General features: G+C 45.9%; 2 pseudogenes, besides 5 other annotated features; both read left to right on the top strand.

The window, feature by feature from the left end:
* Positions 50-99: an enhancer, noted in NCBI's record as "active region_17999". NCBI's record gives its function as "activates an Ori minimal core promoter by ATAC-STARR-seq in GM12878 lymphoblastoid cells {active_cell/tissue: GM12878}" and the evidence as "EXISTENCE:reporter gene assay evidence [ECO:0000049][PMID:35858748]".
* Positions 130-459: an enhancer, noted in NCBI's record as "active region_17998". NCBI's record gives its function as "activates an Ori minimal core promoter by ATAC-STARR-seq in GM12878 lymphoblastoid cells {active_cell/tissue: GM12878}" and the evidence as "EXISTENCE:reporter gene assay evidence [ECO:0000049][PMID:35858748]".
* Positions 1,060-1,129: an enhancer, noted in NCBI's record as "active region_17997". NCBI's record gives its function as "activates an Ori minimal core promoter by ATAC-STARR-seq in GM12878 lymphoblastoid cells {active_cell/tissue: GM12878}" and the evidence as "EXISTENCE:reporter gene assay evidence [ECO:0000049][PMID:35858748]".
* RNU6-497P (RNA, U6 small nuclear 497, pseudogene) lies at positions 3,303-3,406 on the top strand (annotated as a pseudogene).
* Positions 6,922-7,474: an enhancer, noted in NCBI's record as "H3K27ac-H3K4me1 hESC enhancer chr20:46108954-46109506 (GRCh37/hg19 assembly coordinates)". NCBI's record gives its function as "activates a minimal SCP1, AML or CMV promoter by ChIP-STARR-seq in primed H9 embryonic stem cells {active_cell/tissue: H9 hESC(primed)}" and the evidence as "EXISTENCE:reporter gene assay evidence [ECO:0000049][PMID:30033119]".
* Positions 7,475-8,028: an enhancer, noted in NCBI's record as "NANOG-H3K27ac hESC enhancer chr20:46108400-46108953 (GRCh37/hg19 assembly coordinates)". NCBI's record gives its function as "activates a minimal SCP1, AML or CMV promoter by ChIP-STARR-seq in primed H9 embryonic stem cells {active_cell/tissue: H9 hESC(primed)}" and the evidence as "EXISTENCE:reporter gene assay evidence [ECO:0000049][PMID:30033119]".
* Positions 8,674-9,470, top strand: RPL35AP (ribosomal protein L35a pseudogene; annotated as a pseudogene).

The raw sequence follows: 16,474 nt of genomic DNA, 5'->3' as shown, positions 1-16,474 counted from the left end.
AACAGGAACCAGGTTGACCTGTGAGATTGCCACCTGGGATGCATTTAAATTAGAAACTCCAGAGTAAATCAACTTGTTAAGAAAAGGATTTGAAGCTGAAGGTATAAAAGATATATGAGACAGGAGGGAGTAGGGTGGGAAATGAAAGAACAGAAACTGAATATTCAGAGCTAGGGGGTAGAGAAAAGAAACTAAAAAAAGCGCAAAGGTGGTCAGTTTCCAGCAATACAGCAGATTAGATAGCCTGAAACACTCAACCCCACCCGCAAAAACATCTGGAAATTCTGAGTAAAAGATAACAAGTACTCTTTTAAATGAATCACAGGGTTCACAGGAAAGAAAGGGAAATCCCCCATGTCAAAAAACAAAAATGGAACTGAAACCCAACCGGTAGTGTGAACTGATAGATACTATGCCAGAGGAGGAGGTGTCACGGGTCTCAGAAAGCAAAGACCTCCTAATGCAATGCAAATACAAGGGCAGGAAATCAGGCCTTGGGGCTCATGTAATCCAAAATTACAATATAGAAATCATCCTCCTGGAGCTAGGAGTCAACCCAGCAAGCAAAGGCGTACTTTCAGATAATAGCATGTTTGCACAAAAACCATCGAAAGATGAGCTAATAATTATTAAAGACACAAAAGAAGGTACCAAAATATGCAAACAGAATAATATCATAAAAAACAAAAAAAAACAAAAAACAAGCAGGTTTGATAAAGAACCTGGCTCAGGCCTGTAATCCCAGCACTTTGGGAGGCCGAGGTGGGCAGATCACGAGGTCAGGAGATCAAGACCATCCTGGTTAACACGGTGAAACCCCCGTCTCCACTAAAAATACAAAAAAATTAGCTGGGCATGGTAGCAGGCACCTGTAGTTCCAGCTACTCGGGAGGCTGAGGCAGGAGAATGGCGTGAACCCCAGAAGCGGAGCTTGCAGTGAGCCGAGATCGCGCCACGGCACTCCAGCCAAGGGACAGAGCGAGACTCCATCTCAAAATAAATGAATAAATACATAAATAAAATAAAAACTAATTTCTGGCCGGGCACGGTGGCTCACGCCTGTAATCCTAGCACTTTGGGAGGCCGAGGCAGGTGGATTGCCTGAGCTCAGGAGTTCGAGACCAGCCTGGGCAACAACGGTGAAACCCCGTCTCTACTAAAATACAAAAAATTAGCCAGGCGTGGCAGCATGCGCCTGTAGTCCCAGCTACTCAGGAGGCTGAGGCAGGAGAATTGCTTGAACCCGGGAAGCAGAGGTTACAGTGAGCCGAGATCACACCACTGCACTCCAGCCTGGGCAACAGAGTGAGACTCCGTCTCTAAAAAAAAAAAACTAATTTCTTTCTCTTTTTTTCTTATTTATTATTACTTTTTTTTTTCTAGAGACATGGTCTTACTCTGTAGCCTAGTCTGGAGTGCAGTGGTGCAATCATAGTTCACTGCAACCTCAAATTCTTGGGTTCAAGGGACCCTCCAGCCTCAGCCTCTTGAGTAGCTGGGACTATAGGCATGTGTCACCATGCCTGGCTCAGGACTCATTTATTGAATGACACTGTATACCAGACCTGTCCCAAGCACATGCCAATGCAGTTCCTATTATGAAAGCTTACAGTCCAGACTTGACAAATTCCCAAATGACTACCCTGGAAAATTTCAACCCCCATACTGGGCCTCAGTTTCTACGTTTGTGAAATGAGCAATTTAAACTCAATGTTTCCCCTAGTGTAGATGAGATTATTTTTGGTAAAATATTCGGGCACCATTAAAAAGCACTGTGGAAAGGAATCTCTCTTTCATTTTTTTTTTAAGTAGAGATGGGGGGGTCTCACGATGTTGCCCAGGCTGGTCTCAAACTCCTGGCCTCAAGTGATCCTCCCATCCCAGCCTCCCAAAGTGCTGGGATTAGAGCCGTGAGCTACCACACCCAGCCAGTCACCCCTTTTCCTTTCTTTCTTTTCTCTTCTTTCTTTCTTTCTTTTTCTTTCTGTCTTTCTCTCTCTCTCTCTCTCTCTTTCTTTCTTTCTTCTTTCTTTTTTTTTCGAGATGGAGTTTGGCTCCCATTGCCCAGGCTGGAGTGCAATGGTGCAATCTTGGCTCACTGCAACCTCTGCCTCCTGGGTTCAAGCGACACTCCTGCCTCAGCCTCCCGAGTAGCTGGGATTACAGGCACCACCACCACCCCTGGCTAATTTTTTTGTATTTTTAGTAGAGATGGGGTTTCACCATGTTGGCCAGGCTGGTCTCGAACTCCTGACCTCAGGTGATCCACCCATCTCAGCCTCCCAAAGTGCTGGGATTACAGGCTTGAGCCACCACGCCCGGCCTCAGTCACCCCTTTTTCAATCCTCTTCTAATTCTACCTCTAGTAGGAAGTCTCAGTGTGGTACAATCTCCTTTTCTGTTTTTGATTTTTTTGAGTCAGGGTCTTACTCTCTTGCCCAGGCTGGAGTGCAGTGGCACAATCGTGGCTCACTGCAGCCTCGACCTCCTAGGTTCAAGTGATCTTCCCACCTCAGCCTCCCAAGTAGCTGAGACCCCAGGCAGGTGCCATTATGCCCTGCTAATTTTTTTTTTTTTTTTGTAGAGACAAGGGTCTCCCTATGTTGCCCAGGCTCATCTCAAACTCCTGACCTCAAAATATTCTCCCACCTCAGCCTCCCAAAGTGCTGGGATTACAGGCATGAGCCACCACCCCCAGCCCAATCTCCTTTATGACAAAGGACAAGCAGATCTGGACCCTAAAGCCTGTACAGGCAACAGTCTCTAGCCAGCATGTAATCACATTGTGTTGTTTCACTGTCTTTATTTTTACTTCTAGCTCCCATTTATGGCAAGAGGTATAGGTTTTCTGCTTATGTATTGACATAAGGTTTCCTTTTGAAATAATATTTATATAGCTAAAAATAAGTGAACCGATGCAAGAAAAATGTTAAGTAAATAATATAGATGGTACAGATATAAAAATGCTAAATAATATAGACGATATGGCAAAAATCATAAAGATAGAACAGGAACAACTCCAGTTAGGCAAACACAGATCTATTTCACTCGGCCCATTTTGCAGGCATGAAACCTAAGGCCCAGAGCAGGTAATAGAATCTCGCTGACTCCGACATAGCAAGGAAATTGCAGAGGATGGCTGATTCAGAATTCATTAGACAGTCATGAACTTCAGGAGGTTCCAAGCCAGCAAGCAGGTCTGCCGGTCAGGTATGCAGATCCTGAATCCACAAGTGATTGTATTGCACCTTCCTTTCCACTTCGTCCCTGCTGGACAAGATTCATTCATTCAACAAATATTTATGCTCCCTGCTGCAGTACATATACTAAAATTGGAATAACACAAAGATTAGCATGGCCCCTGTGCAAGGATGACATGCAAATTCATGAAGTGTTTCATATTAAAAAAAAAAACAAAACAAAAAAAACAGTCCAGGCACAGTGGCTCATCCCTATAATCCCAGCAATTTGGGAGGCCAAGGCAGAAGGATCATTTGAGCCCAGAAGTTCGAGACCAGCCTGGGCAACATGGTGAAACCGCATTTCTACAAAAAATGCAAAAATTAGCTGGGAGGCCGGGTGCAGTGGCTCATGCCTGTAATCCCAGCACTTTGGGAGGCTGCGGCAGGCAGATCACCTGAGGTCAGGAGTTCGAGACCAGCCTGGCCAACATGGTGAAACCCCATCTCTACTAAAAGTACAAAAATTAGCTGGTCATGGTGGTGCGTGCCTGTAGTCCCAGTTACTCTTGAGGCTGAGGCACGAGAATCGCTTGAACCCAAGAGGTAGAGGTTGCAGTGAGCTGAGATCGCGCCACTGCACTCCAGCCTGAGAGACAGAGCAACAGACTCGGTCTCAAAAAAAAAAATTAGCTGGGTATGGTGGCACATGCCTGTAGTCCTGGCTACTTGGGAGGCTGAGGCCGGAGGAGCACTTCAGCCCAGGAGTTCCAGGCTGCAGTGAGCCATGATAGCACCACTGCACTCCAGCCTGGGAGACAGAACAAGATCCTATCTTAAAAAAAAAAAATACATATATATATATATATATATATATATATATATATATATATATGTATGTATACAAAAATTAGCCAGACTTGGTGGCGGGTGCCTATAATCCCAGCTACTGGGGAGGCTGAGGCAGGAGAATCACTTGAACCAGGGGACGGAGGTTGCAGTGAGCCGAGATTGCGCCACTGCACTCCAGGTTGAGCGACAGAGCGAGACTCTGTCTCAGAAAAAACAAAAACCAAAAAATCCCAGAGAAATATTTGTTGACATCCTGCCGTTTACCAGGCACTGTGCTAATTCTTAGGCATGTAATGGTGAGACACAAACAGCAACAGTCTCTCTTCTCAGGACTTTGTAATCCAGCGGGGACGGGGACAAAACATCAGTTAACACATACACAAAAGCAAGATAATTACAGATTGTAATCAGTGCTACAAAAAAAAAAAAAAAAAAAACAGCTTGTGACAGGCACAGAATAACCACAGAACTACTTATTTAACTAGTTAGTCTTGATGGTATTTATTTGTTAATTTACTTTGACCAGGTATAATGTGGTTCAAAATCCAAAAGGTACAAAAGATTTCTGGTAAAAATCTTTCTTCCACTCTTCCCTAGACACCCAGCATCTTTCCCTAGAGACAACAAGAGTTAACTGTTTCTTGTGTATGCTTTCAGAAGTAGTTGAATCATGTACAAGCAAAGGGCTATATATCTCCTGAATGGTAACATAGAGGCCAGGTGCAGTGGCTTATGCTTGTAATCCCAGTATTTGGGAGGCTGAGGTGGGAGTCATTGGAAGCTAGAAGTTTGAGACTGGCCTGGACAACATAGCAAGACCTTGTCTCTACAAAATTTTTAGGCCAGGTGCAGTGGCTCACGCCTGTAAACCCAGCAATTTGGGATGCTGAGGCAGGTGGATTACCTGAAGTCAGGAGTTCAAGACCAGTCTGGCCAATATGGCGAGACCCCATCTCTACTAAAAATACAAAAATTAGCTGGTGTGGTGGCACGTGCCTGTAATCCCAGCTACTTGGGAGGCTGAGGCATGAGAATCGCTTGAACCCGGGAGGCAGAGGTTGCAGTGAGCCAAGATTGCACCACTGCACTCCAGCCTGGGCGACAGAGAGAGACTCTGTTTCAAAAAAATAGAAATAAAAATGAAAAATAAAAATAGAAAAATTAGCCAGGCATGATAGTGCATGCCTGTAATCCCAGCTACTTGGGAAGCTGAGGCAGGAGAATCGCTAGAACCCAGGAGGCAGAGGTTGCGGTGAGCTGAGATCACGCCACTGCTCTCCAGCCTGGGCAACAGAGTAAGACTCCATCTCAAATAAATAAATAAATAAAAAGGTAACATGTATGCAATACGTACTTCCCACCTTACTTTTTCACCTACCAGCACATCTTAGACATTTCTTCACTTTCTTTAGGTAAGTAGATAGAAAAGGTAGCCTTTTGTCAAGCACAGAATTCAGGCTGGGAGTGGGGTACAATCCAGACAATTACAAGTACCAAGAGTTTGATATGTGCAGAAAGAGGAAGACGCCAGTAAACCTGAGCGTGATAAACAAGGCTCAAGAAGCAACGAGAATGCCAGACAGACAGGCAGGGTCTGGGCATGCAGGTTCTTGTCAGTCATAAAAGAAGTTTGCCGTTTATTCTAATTGCAGTAGCCACTGGATGTGTTTTTAACAGAGTGATATGATCTGACTTGCATTTTCCAACGATAACCCCTGTGACTGTGTGGGGAGTTGGGTCAAGACTGGGAGAGGATACCAGATGAGAAGTGGCTGCGGTATTCTAGGCGAGAGGGGATATGAGCTTGGGCTAAGACGATGTAGGAGAAAGGATGGGGGTTCAGGGTATATGTTGAAGCTAGACAAGAAAAACTTCAAAACAGATTAGATGTGGACAGCAAGAGAAAGTAGAGAATTGAACCCCTGGGAAGTGGACATTTTTAGGTTTTGTGGGTGACTTCATGTCTATAACTTGCTTTATGATACTTCAATATAATCAGTTTGTTTGTTTTTGTTTTTTGAGACAGTCTCGTCTCACTGTGTCACCCAGGCTGGAGTACAGTGGTGGGATAATGGCTCACTGCAGCCTCGATCTCTCTGGCTCAATCTATCCTCCCACCTCAGCCTCCTAAGTAGCCGGGACTACTGGCGCACACCACCAAACCTGGCTACTTTTGTATTTTTTGTAGAGACGGGGTTTTGGCCAGGCATGGTGGCTCATACCTGTAATCCTAGCACTTTTGGAGGACAAGGCAGGCGGATCGCTTGAGCTCAGAAATTCAAGACCAGCCTGGGCAACATAATGAGACTCCATCTCTACTAAAAATACCAAAAAATAGCCAGCATGGTGGTGCACACCTGTAGTCCCAGCTACTCGGGAGGCTGAGGTGGGAGGATTGCTTGAGCCTGGGGGAGAAGGTTGCAGTGAGCAACCTGCAGTGAGATTGCACCACTGCACTCCAGCCTGAGTGACAGCGCAAGATCCTGTCAATAGAAAAATAAAGGAAATAAAGGAAAGAAAGGAAAAGAAGAAAGGAAGGAAGGAAGGAAGGAAAGAAGGAAGGAAGGAAGGCAAAGAAGGAAAGAAAGAAAGAAAGAAAAAGAAAGAAAGAAAGGAAGGAAGGAAGGAAGGAAGGAAGGAAGGAAGGAAGAAAGAGAAAGAGAGAGAGAGGAGGGGAGGGAGGGAAGGAAGGAAAGAGAGAAAGAAGGAAGGAGGGAAGGAAGAAAGGAAGGAGGAAGAAAGGAAAGAAGGAGGAAGGAAGGAAGAAAGGAGGGAAGGAAGGAAAGGAAGGAAGAAGAGCTGAGAATTTGTATTTCTTTCTTTCTTTCTTTCTTTCTTTTTATGATGGGGTTTCACCATGTTGCCCAGGCTGGTCCTGAACTCCTGAGCTCAAGCAATCTGCCAGCTTCAGCCTTCCAAAGCTCAAGGTGTGAGCCACTGCACCCAGCCTAATCAGTTTGACATTATATAAATGTCAGTTTAAGCCAATGATTTTTTTGTTTTGTTTTCTTTTAACATACAGGGTCTCCCTCTGTTGTTGCCCAGGCTGAAGCGCAGTGGTGTGATTATAGCTCACTGCAGCCAAATTCCTGGGCTCAAGCCATCGTCCTGCCTCAGCCTCTCAAGTAGTTAAGACTACAGGTGCATGCTACCATGCCTGGCTACTTTTTAAATTTTTAGTAGAGATGAGGTCTTGCTGTGTTGTCCAGGCTGGTCTCCAACTTCTGGCCTCAAGGGATCCTCCTGCCTTGGCCTCCCAAAGTGCTGGGATTACAGACACAAATCACAACACCCAGCTCCCAGTGATTCTCTAAGTGTTATCTGTGGGCCAGAATCACTTGATTAGATTAGATTAGGTTAGGTTAGAAATACGAATTCTCGCTGGCACTGCGGGTCACGGCTGTAATCCCAGCATTTTGGGAGGCGGGTGGATCACAAGGTCAGGAGATCAAGACCATCCTGGCTAACATGGTGAAACCCCGTCTCTACTAAAAATACAAAACATTAGCTGGGCATGGTGGCACACGTCTGTAGTCCCAGCTACTTGGGAGGCTGAGGCAGGAGCATTACTTGAACCCAGGAGCCAGAGGTTGCAGTGAGCCGAGATCGCACCACTGCACTCCAGCCTGGACAACAGAGTGAGACTCGTCTCAAAAAAAAAAAAAAAAAGAATGTAGAATACAAAGATAATTAACCACCACTTAACAGTAATGGCCACATCAGCAAACTAAAATAGAAGTAAATTCCAGAATGTTTTGGAGACAGGTAAGAAACAAAGGGAGTGTTCTCAACAATGGAACCTTATCAGAAAAAGGGAAGCAATGCTAGACTTGTCTGGAACAGCCTCTTCTAGGTGTGGTTCCCCAGAGCCCTGGGAAAAACAGGCCTTATCTTGAAAAGAGGAAGGATTGGATGCAAGGAAGTTTGAAGCAAACAATGGCAGTTCAGGCCTTGTTGGAGAGAACTGAGTTGTGTGCAAAAGTAATAAGGGAAAAAGGCTTTTTAAAGCAGAATTCTGACCACAGAAGGCATGCTGTAGGTGGGGGGAGGAAAAAGTTTGTTTCTAAGAACAGAGAAGACAGAAGAACACATAGGTACAGACAGACAAGGAGACCAGGATTAGAGTCTGGGGTCACCAACTAAAAGGCACATATGACCTTGGGCAAGGGATTTCACCTTCACATTTTAGTATTTCACAATTTTCCCCCTCTAAGAAGTTAGACTCTCAGCTGCCGTAAATTTAAAAATCATTCCCTAAGGCCTTTCTCTTTCTACCATCTTGGAGCCTGTCTGCTTGACAGGGCCTTTTTTTTTTTTCTTTTGAAACAAGGTCTCACTCCATCGCACGGGCTGGAGTGCAGTGGTGCGATCATAGCTCACTGTAACCTAGAGCATCCCAGGATCAAGTGATCCTCTAACCTCAGCCTCCTCAGTAGCTGAGAACACAGGTGCATGCCACCACACCTAGCTAACTTTTTTTAGTGTTTTGTAGAGATGGGATCTCCTTATGTTATATTTAGAGACCCAGGCTGGTCTCTAAATCCTAGGCTCAAGGGATCTTCTCGCCTTGGCCTATCAAAGTGCTGGGATCACTGACATGAGACACCCTGCCCAACCAGGACAGGACTTCTAAAAGGCAGATATGTCTGGAAGGCTGTGGTCTAAGGCCATTTTTCCTTTTTTCCTTTTACTTTTTTTTCTTTTTTTTTTTTTTTGACACGGACTTTCACTCTGTCACCCAGGCTGGAGTGCAATGGCACAATCTCGGCTTACTGCAACCTCCGCCTCCTGTGTTCAAGTGAGTCTCCTGCCTCAGCCTCCCGAGTAGCTGGGATTACAGACATGTGACACCACACCCAGCTAATTTTGTATTTTTAGTAGAGACGGGGTTTCACTATGTTGGTCAGGCTGGTCTCAAACTCCTGACCTCAGGTGATACACCCGCCTCGGCCTCCCAAAGTGCTGGGATTACAGGCGTGAGCCACTGCACTTGGCTTTATTTTCTTTTTATTGTAGAGACACGGTCTCACTATGTTGACCAGCCTGGTCTTGAATTACTGGCCTCGGGTGATCCTCCTGCCTAGGCCTCCCAAAGTGCTGAGATTACAAGCATGAACCACTGGGCCTGGACCCAAGGCCACTTTTGCTGGCTATAAGCAGGGTCTCTTGAACCAAAGGGAGTACACAGCTCTTCTTAACATTGAAGGCATTTATGCCTGAGATGAAACTGAATCCTATTTGGGCAAGAGATGCGCTTATGCATACAAAGCAAAGAACAGGACAGTGACTCCCGGCAGCAAACTGAACAAAACCAGAGTGATGTGAGGAAAGGTAACTCAGACCCATGGAATTATGGGCATAGTTCATGCCAAATTCTGAAACAATCTTCCTGCTAAGGCCACTGGACAAAGATTCCATGTGATGTTATACCCCTCTTAAATAAATGAAAAGTAAATAAATAAAAAATATATATTTTTTGGAGATGGAGTTTCACTCTTGCTGCCCAGGCTGCAGTGCAATGGCGTGATCTCAGCTCACCGCAACCTCTGCCTCCCCAGTTCAAGCGATTCTCCTGCCTCAGCCTCCCAAGTAGCTGGTATTACAGGCACCGACCACCGCACCTGGCTAATTTTTTGTATTTTTAGTAGAGATGGGGTTTCACCATGTTGCCCAGGCTGGTCTGGAACAACTGACCTCAGGTGATCCACCTGCCTCGGCCTCCCAAAGTGCTGGGATACAGGCGTGAGCCACCATGCCCGGCTAAAAGTAAATTTATTAAAACGTAGTATAATAAAAATCATTCCCCAAGAAGGACACACACAATATCACTTTTATAGTATTTTTGCCAAAAATATTCAACCTGAATCTAAACCTGTGGATACAATCAGACAAGTTCAAATTGGAGGTGTTGAAAAAGCTGAACTGCAAAATATTTAAAGAGGTTTATTCTGAGCCAAATATGAGTGATGATGGCTAGCAGAAGACTTTTTTTGGGGGGATGGGTGGGGGGCAGGGTCTTGCTCTGTCATCCAGGCTGGAGAGCAGTAGCATAATCTCAGCTCACTGCAACCTCCACCTCCCGGGCTCAAGCAATCCTCCCGTCTCAGCCTCTGGAGTAGCTGAGACTGCAGGTGTGCACTACCACACCCAGCTAATTTTTTAATTAATTAATTTTATTATTATTTTATTTTTTTATTTTGAGACAGAGTGTCCCTCTGTCATCCAGGCTGGAGTGCAGTGGTGCGATCTCGGCTCATTGTAACCTCTGCCTCCTGGGTTCAAGCAATTCTTCTGCCTTAGCCTCCCGAGTAGCTGGGACTACACGTGCACGCCACCATGCCCGGCTAAGTTTTGTATTTTTAGTAGAGACAGGATTTCACAATATTGGTCAGGCTGGTCTCAAACTCCTGACCTCAGGCAATCCACCCACCTTGGCCTCCCAAAGTGCTGGTATTACAGGTGTGAGCCACTGCGCCTGGCCTAATTTTTTATTTTTTGTAGAGACAGGGTTTCACCATGTTGGCCAGGCTGGTCTCAAACTCCTGACCTCAGGTGATCTGTCTACCTCCGCCTCCCAGAGTACTGGGATTACAGGCATAAACCACCGCACCCGCCCTTTGAGGTTGGTTTTATACATTTTAGGAGGACATAAGATATCAATGAATACATGTGAGGTGTATCGGTTCAGTCCAGAAAGGTGGACCAACTCAAAGTAAGCGAGGGTATTTACAGGTAACAAGTGGTTTCAAAGATTTTCTGATTGGCAATTGGCTGAAAGTTAAGTTACTATCTAGAGATCTAGAATCAAAAGAAAGGAGTGTCTGGGTTACAATAAGGGGCTATGGAGACCAAGGTTTGTATGAAGTAGATGAAGTCTCATAGGTGGCTGCCCTTTGAGACAATAGAGGACAAATGTTTCCTATTTGTTGGGCGGGCATGGTAACTCATGCCTGTAGTCCTAGCACTTCGGGAGGCCAAGGCAAGAGGATCACTTGAGCCCAGGACTTCAAGACCAGCCAGGGCAACAGAGTGAGACCCCATCTCTATAATTTTTTTTTAATGTTTTCTATTTAGACCTTTACAGGATGCTAGATTCTCAGTTAATCTCACCAGGATTTGGAGAGCCTGGAAGATGAAAAATCTAGTTATATTCATAGAAATTCTTTACAATGCAAATTTTCCCCCACAAAAGAAGCCTTTGTAGGGCCGTTTTTTTTTTTTTTCGTAATGGGTTGAGGGGAGGGGGAGAAAGGAGGAGGCTCCTGGGGCCATTTCAATATGTGGCAAGGTAACTTTTTTTTTCTTTTTTTCCTTTTTGAGACAGAGTGTTGATCTGTCGCCCAGGCTGGAGAAAGAAATAACCATAAAAATAGCCAATCAGCAGCCCATGCTACTGCTGTGCCTATGAAGTAGCCATTCTTTCATTCCTTTACTTTCTTTTTTTTTTTTTTTTTTTTTTGAGATGGAGTCTCATGCTCTCTCTCAGGCTGGAGTACAGCGGCGCAATCTTGGCTCACTGCAGCCTCTGCCTCTCTGGTTCAAGCAATTCTCCTGCCGCAATCTCCCGAGTAGCTGGGATTACAGGCAAGTACCACCACACCTGGCTAATTTTTATCTATTTTTTGGTAGAGACAAGGTTTCGCCATGTTGGCCAGGCTGGTCTTGAACTCCTGACCTCAGGCGACCCACCCACCTTGGCCTTCCAAAGCACTGGATTACAGGCATGAGCCACTACCCAGGGCTGAAATGTTGCTTTTTTTGGTCTTTGTTTTGTGGCTGGGTGGGGTGGTGCACACCTGAATCCTGACTACTTGGGAGACTGAGGCAAGAGTATCCCTTGAGAAGTTCAAGGCTGCGGTGAGCTATGATTGCACCACTGCACTCTTGTCTGGGTAACAGAGTGAGACCTTATCTCAAAAAATGAATGAATATATCTTTGTCTTTTGAAATCTACCCTCTCCTTCCAAGTCTGGGTCAGGGACTAGTTGGACTAGGGTGACTGATTTCTCTCCGTTTGCCCAACAGAGTCTCACTCTGTTGCCCAGGCTAGAGTGCAGTGGTGTGATCTCAGCTCACTGCAACCTCTGCCTCCTGAGTTCAGCTGATTCTCTTGCCTCAGCCTAGTGAGTAGCTGGGATTACAGGCATGTGCCATGACACCCAGCTAATTTTATTTATTTTTTTTGAGACAGAGTATCACTCTGTCACCCAGGCTGGGGTGCAGTGGAGTGATCTCAGTTCGCTGCAACCTCTGCCTCCTGGGTTCAAGCGATTCTCCTGCTTCAGCCTCTCAAATAGCTGGGATTACTGAAATGCGCCATCAAGCCTGGCTAATTTTTGTATTTTTAATAGACATGGGGTTTCACCATGATGGCCAGGCTGGTCTCGAACTCCTGACCTCAAGTGATCTACCCACCTCAGCCTCCCAAAGTACTGGGATTACAAGTGTGCACCACCACACCCGCCTGGCTAATTTTTGTATTTTTAGTAGAGACGGGGTTTCACCATTTTGGCCAGGCTGGTCTCGAACTCCTGACCTCAGGTGATCCACCCACCTGTAATCCCAAAGTTCTGGGATTACAGCCATGAGCCACCATACCTCTCTCCCACAGACTGCACTCCCAGCCCTCATCCTTAACCCCCTGGCAACCGCTAATCTGTCCTTCAGTTCTAAAATGTTGTCATTTCAAAAATGTTACAAGCTGGATGTGGTGGCTCACACCTGTAATCCCAGCACTTTGGGAGGCCAAGGTGGGTGGATCACCTGAGGTCAGGAGTTTGAGACCAGCCTGACCAACATGGTGAAACCCCGTCTTTACTAAAAATACAAAATTAGCCGGGCGTGGTGGCATGTGCCTGTAATCCCAGCTACTTGGGAGGCTGAGGCAGGAGAATCACTTGGGCCCAGGAGGCAGAGGTTTTAGCACTGCAAGTCCTACAATCCAGAAACCCCCTCAATCCCAGGAAAATCATGATAGTTGGTCACCCTAAAGGGAGACCCAAATTCTCTCAGCTGGGCATAAGTCTCCCCACAAAAATGAAGAAAGGCGGCCAGATGCGGTGGCTCACGCCTGTAATCTCAGCACTTTGGGAGGGCGAGGTGGGCGGATCACAAGGTCAGGAGATCAAGACCATCCTGGCTAACACGGTGAAACCCCGTCTCTACTAAAAATACAAAAAATTAGTCGGGCATGGTGGCGGGCACCTGTAGTCCCAGCTACTCGGGAGGCTGAGGCAGGAGAATGGCGTGAACCTGGGAGGCAGAGCTTGCAGTGAGCCAAGATCATGCCACTGCACTCCAGCCTGGGCGACAGTGCAAGACTCCCTCTCAAAAAAAAAAAAAAGAAGAAGAAAGAAAAGTATTTCCATTAAAAGCCACCATTTAGCCTCATGCTGGCCTAGGGAAGTTTCTCTAGGTTCAGGTCTGTACTTACCTGAAAAACCCCTGGGATACAAGCAAAAGATAACAATGACTGTGCTAATTTTCCAGTTACAAATGTGGCTGTGAAAGTCAGGGGACTGACCAGATGTGGTGGCTCAAGCCTGTAATCCCAGCACTTTGGGAGGCTGAAGTGGGTGGATCATGAGGTCAGGAGTTCAAGACCAGCCTGGCCAAGATGGTGAAACCCCATCTCTACTAAAAATACAAAAATTAGCCGGGCACGGTGGTGGGCGCCTGTAATCCCAGCTACTCGGAAGGCTGAGGCAGGAGAATGGCTTGAACCCGGGGGGCGGAGGTTGCAGTGAGCCGAGATCGTGTCACTGAACTCCAGCCTGGGTGACAAGAGCGAAACTCTGTCTGAAAAAGAAAGAAAGGAAGAAAGTCAGGGGACCAGAGACACTTGGGTCCTGAACCTTTGTAAAATCCTGGTAAAATTTAAAAAGCCCTATATCAAATTAATTCAAATGAATGAGAAATTTTAGCTCTGTTCCAAGCATTATTCAGGTAACAAAGCAAATGATCACAAGTTAAATCCTACCGTTCCTTCTAGCCCTCAAAGAGAAGCCCTGTTGTTCAGCTGCTAGCTCTCTTGTGTGCTTATCTCAGTTTTCAGTTCCTCTGTTTGTGTGTGTGTGTGTGTGGTTTTTTGTTTTTTTTTTTTTTGAGACAGAGTCTCACTCTTGTCGCCCAGGCTGGAGTGCAATGGTGTGATCTCAGCTCACTGCAACCTCTGCCTCCCAGGTTCAAGCGATTCTCCTGCCTCAGCCTCCCGAGTAGCTGGGATTACAGGAGCCTGCCACCAAGCCCAGCTAATTTTCGTATTTTTAGTAGAGACAGAGTTTCACTATGTTGGCCAGGCTGGTCTGGAACTCTTGACTTTAGGTGATCTGCCCACCTTGGCCTCCCAAAGTGTTGGGATTACAGGTGTGAGCCACTGCGCCCAGCCGAGTTCCTCTGTCTTGAACTGAGAAGTAAGATTATCTTTTGAGGAGGACTGGTTAAGAGGCAGCCCCTAGAGCCATATTGCTGAGTTCAAAACCTAGCTCGGCTGTGTGACTATGAGCAAATTACTTACTTTCTTTATGCTTCAGTTTCTCCCTTTGCGAAACGAAGATAACAATTATATAGGGATATTGTGAAAATTAAGATTAATAAATGTTAGGTGCTTGGAATAAGGGTTGGCAAACTTTTTCTACAAAGGGCTGGAGAGTAAATATTTTAGGCTGTGGGCTCTATGGTCTGTGATGAAACTATTCAACTCTAAGGAGCAGTCATAGACAAAATGTAAATAAATGGGCATGGCTGTGTTCCAATACAACTTTATATAAAAACAGGAGGCAGAACCAAAGACTGGTATCAGCCCAGATATGCTTCAACAAGTAAATAGTTAAACTGGTACATCTGTATCATGGAATACTACTCAGCAATAAAGAGAAATGAATTGTTGGTTCGTGCGACGGTTAGAAAGAATCTCCAGAAAATTATGCTGAGGGGGAAATAAAATCCCCTAAAATTACATACTGTATGGGGATTGGGTATGGTTCCAGTTGTGTAACTTTTTGTGTGGGGAGCAGGGGGGCAGGGGCACAGAGTCTTGCTCTGTTGCCCAGGCTGGAGTGCAGTGGTGTGATCTCAGCCCACTGCAACTTCTGCCTCCCAGGTTCAAGTGATTCTCCTGCATCAGCCTCCCGAGTAGCTGGGATTGCAGGTACCTGCCACCACACCCGGCTAATTTCAGTAGAGACGGGGTTTCACCATGTTGACCAGGCTGGTCTCAAACTCCTGACCTCAGGTGATCCGCCCACCTCGGCCTCCCAAAGTGCTGGGATTACAGGCGTAAGCCACCACATCCAGCTTGTAACATTTTTGAAATGACATTTTAGAACTGGAGGACAGATTAGCAGTTGCCAGGGGGTTAAGGATGAGGGCTGGGAGTGCAGTCTGTGGGACAGAGGTGTGGGTGAGGTTATACAAAGGCACAATGAGGGTCCCTGTGGTCTTGAAACTGTTCAGTATCTGGACTGCGGTGGTGGACACACAAGACGTGATAAAATTTTATAGAACTTAATACACACACAAATGAGTACAGCTAAAAAGGGAAATCTGGTCCGGTGAGGTGGCTCATGCCTGTAATCCCAGCACTTTGGGAGGCTGAGATGGGCAGATCACCTGAGGCCAGGAGTTCAAGACCAGCCTAGCCAACATGGCAAAACCCCATCTCTACAAATAAGAGAAATCTGAATAAGATTGGTGGGTCATATGAATATCAACATCCCGAATGTGATATTATACTATGCTTTTGCATAGTTGGAGGAAAATGGACAAAATGTAAAAGAGATCTCTGTATTATTTTTTACAAGTGCGTGTGAATCTGCAATTATCAAAATTATTTACTTCTCATTTTAATTTGTAGAGATAGGATCTCCCTGAGTTGCCCAGGCTGGTCTCAAACTCCCAGCCTCAAGCAATCCTCCCATCTCAGCCTCCCAAGTGTGGGGATTACAGGTGTAAGCCACCATGCTTGGTCCAAAATTTTTTCAATTCAAAAAAAAAAGAAAACTAGTGGTGGGGCTGGATTTGGCCTGTGAGTTGGCCCGCCGCCTGTTAGCAGTCCCTGATCACGGACTTCATGCCTGGCAAATGCTGAGTACCATATAAGTAGGATGACCGGCTCCTTCTGGTTTGTCCAGGACTTTCCAGGTTTGCAGTGTTAAAATCAGGAAAGTCCTAGTCAATCGGGTTGAGTTGGATGCCTGATTATACACTTTTTTTTTTTTTGAGATGGAGTCCCCCTTTGTCGCCCAGGCTGGAATGCAGTGGTGCAATCTCAGCTCACTGCAACCTCTGCCTCCTGGGTTCAAGCAGTTCTCCTGCCTCAGCCTCCTGAGTAGATGGGATTACAGGCATGCGCCATCATGTCCAGCTAATTTTTGTATTTTTGGCAAAGACAGGGTTTCGCCATGTTGGCCAGGCTGGTCTGGAACTCCTGACCTCAGGTGATC

The sequence above is a fragment of the Homo sapiens genome, chromosome 20 (genome assembly GCF_000001405.40).
Source record: "Homo sapiens chromosome 20, GRCh38.p14 Primary Assembly".
Classification (NCBI taxonomy): Eukaryota; Metazoa; Chordata; class Mammalia; order Primates; family Hominidae; genus Homo; species Homo sapiens.
Note: the sequence above shows the minus strand (reverse complement) of the source record. Positions and strands in the feature narration are given on the sequence as shown.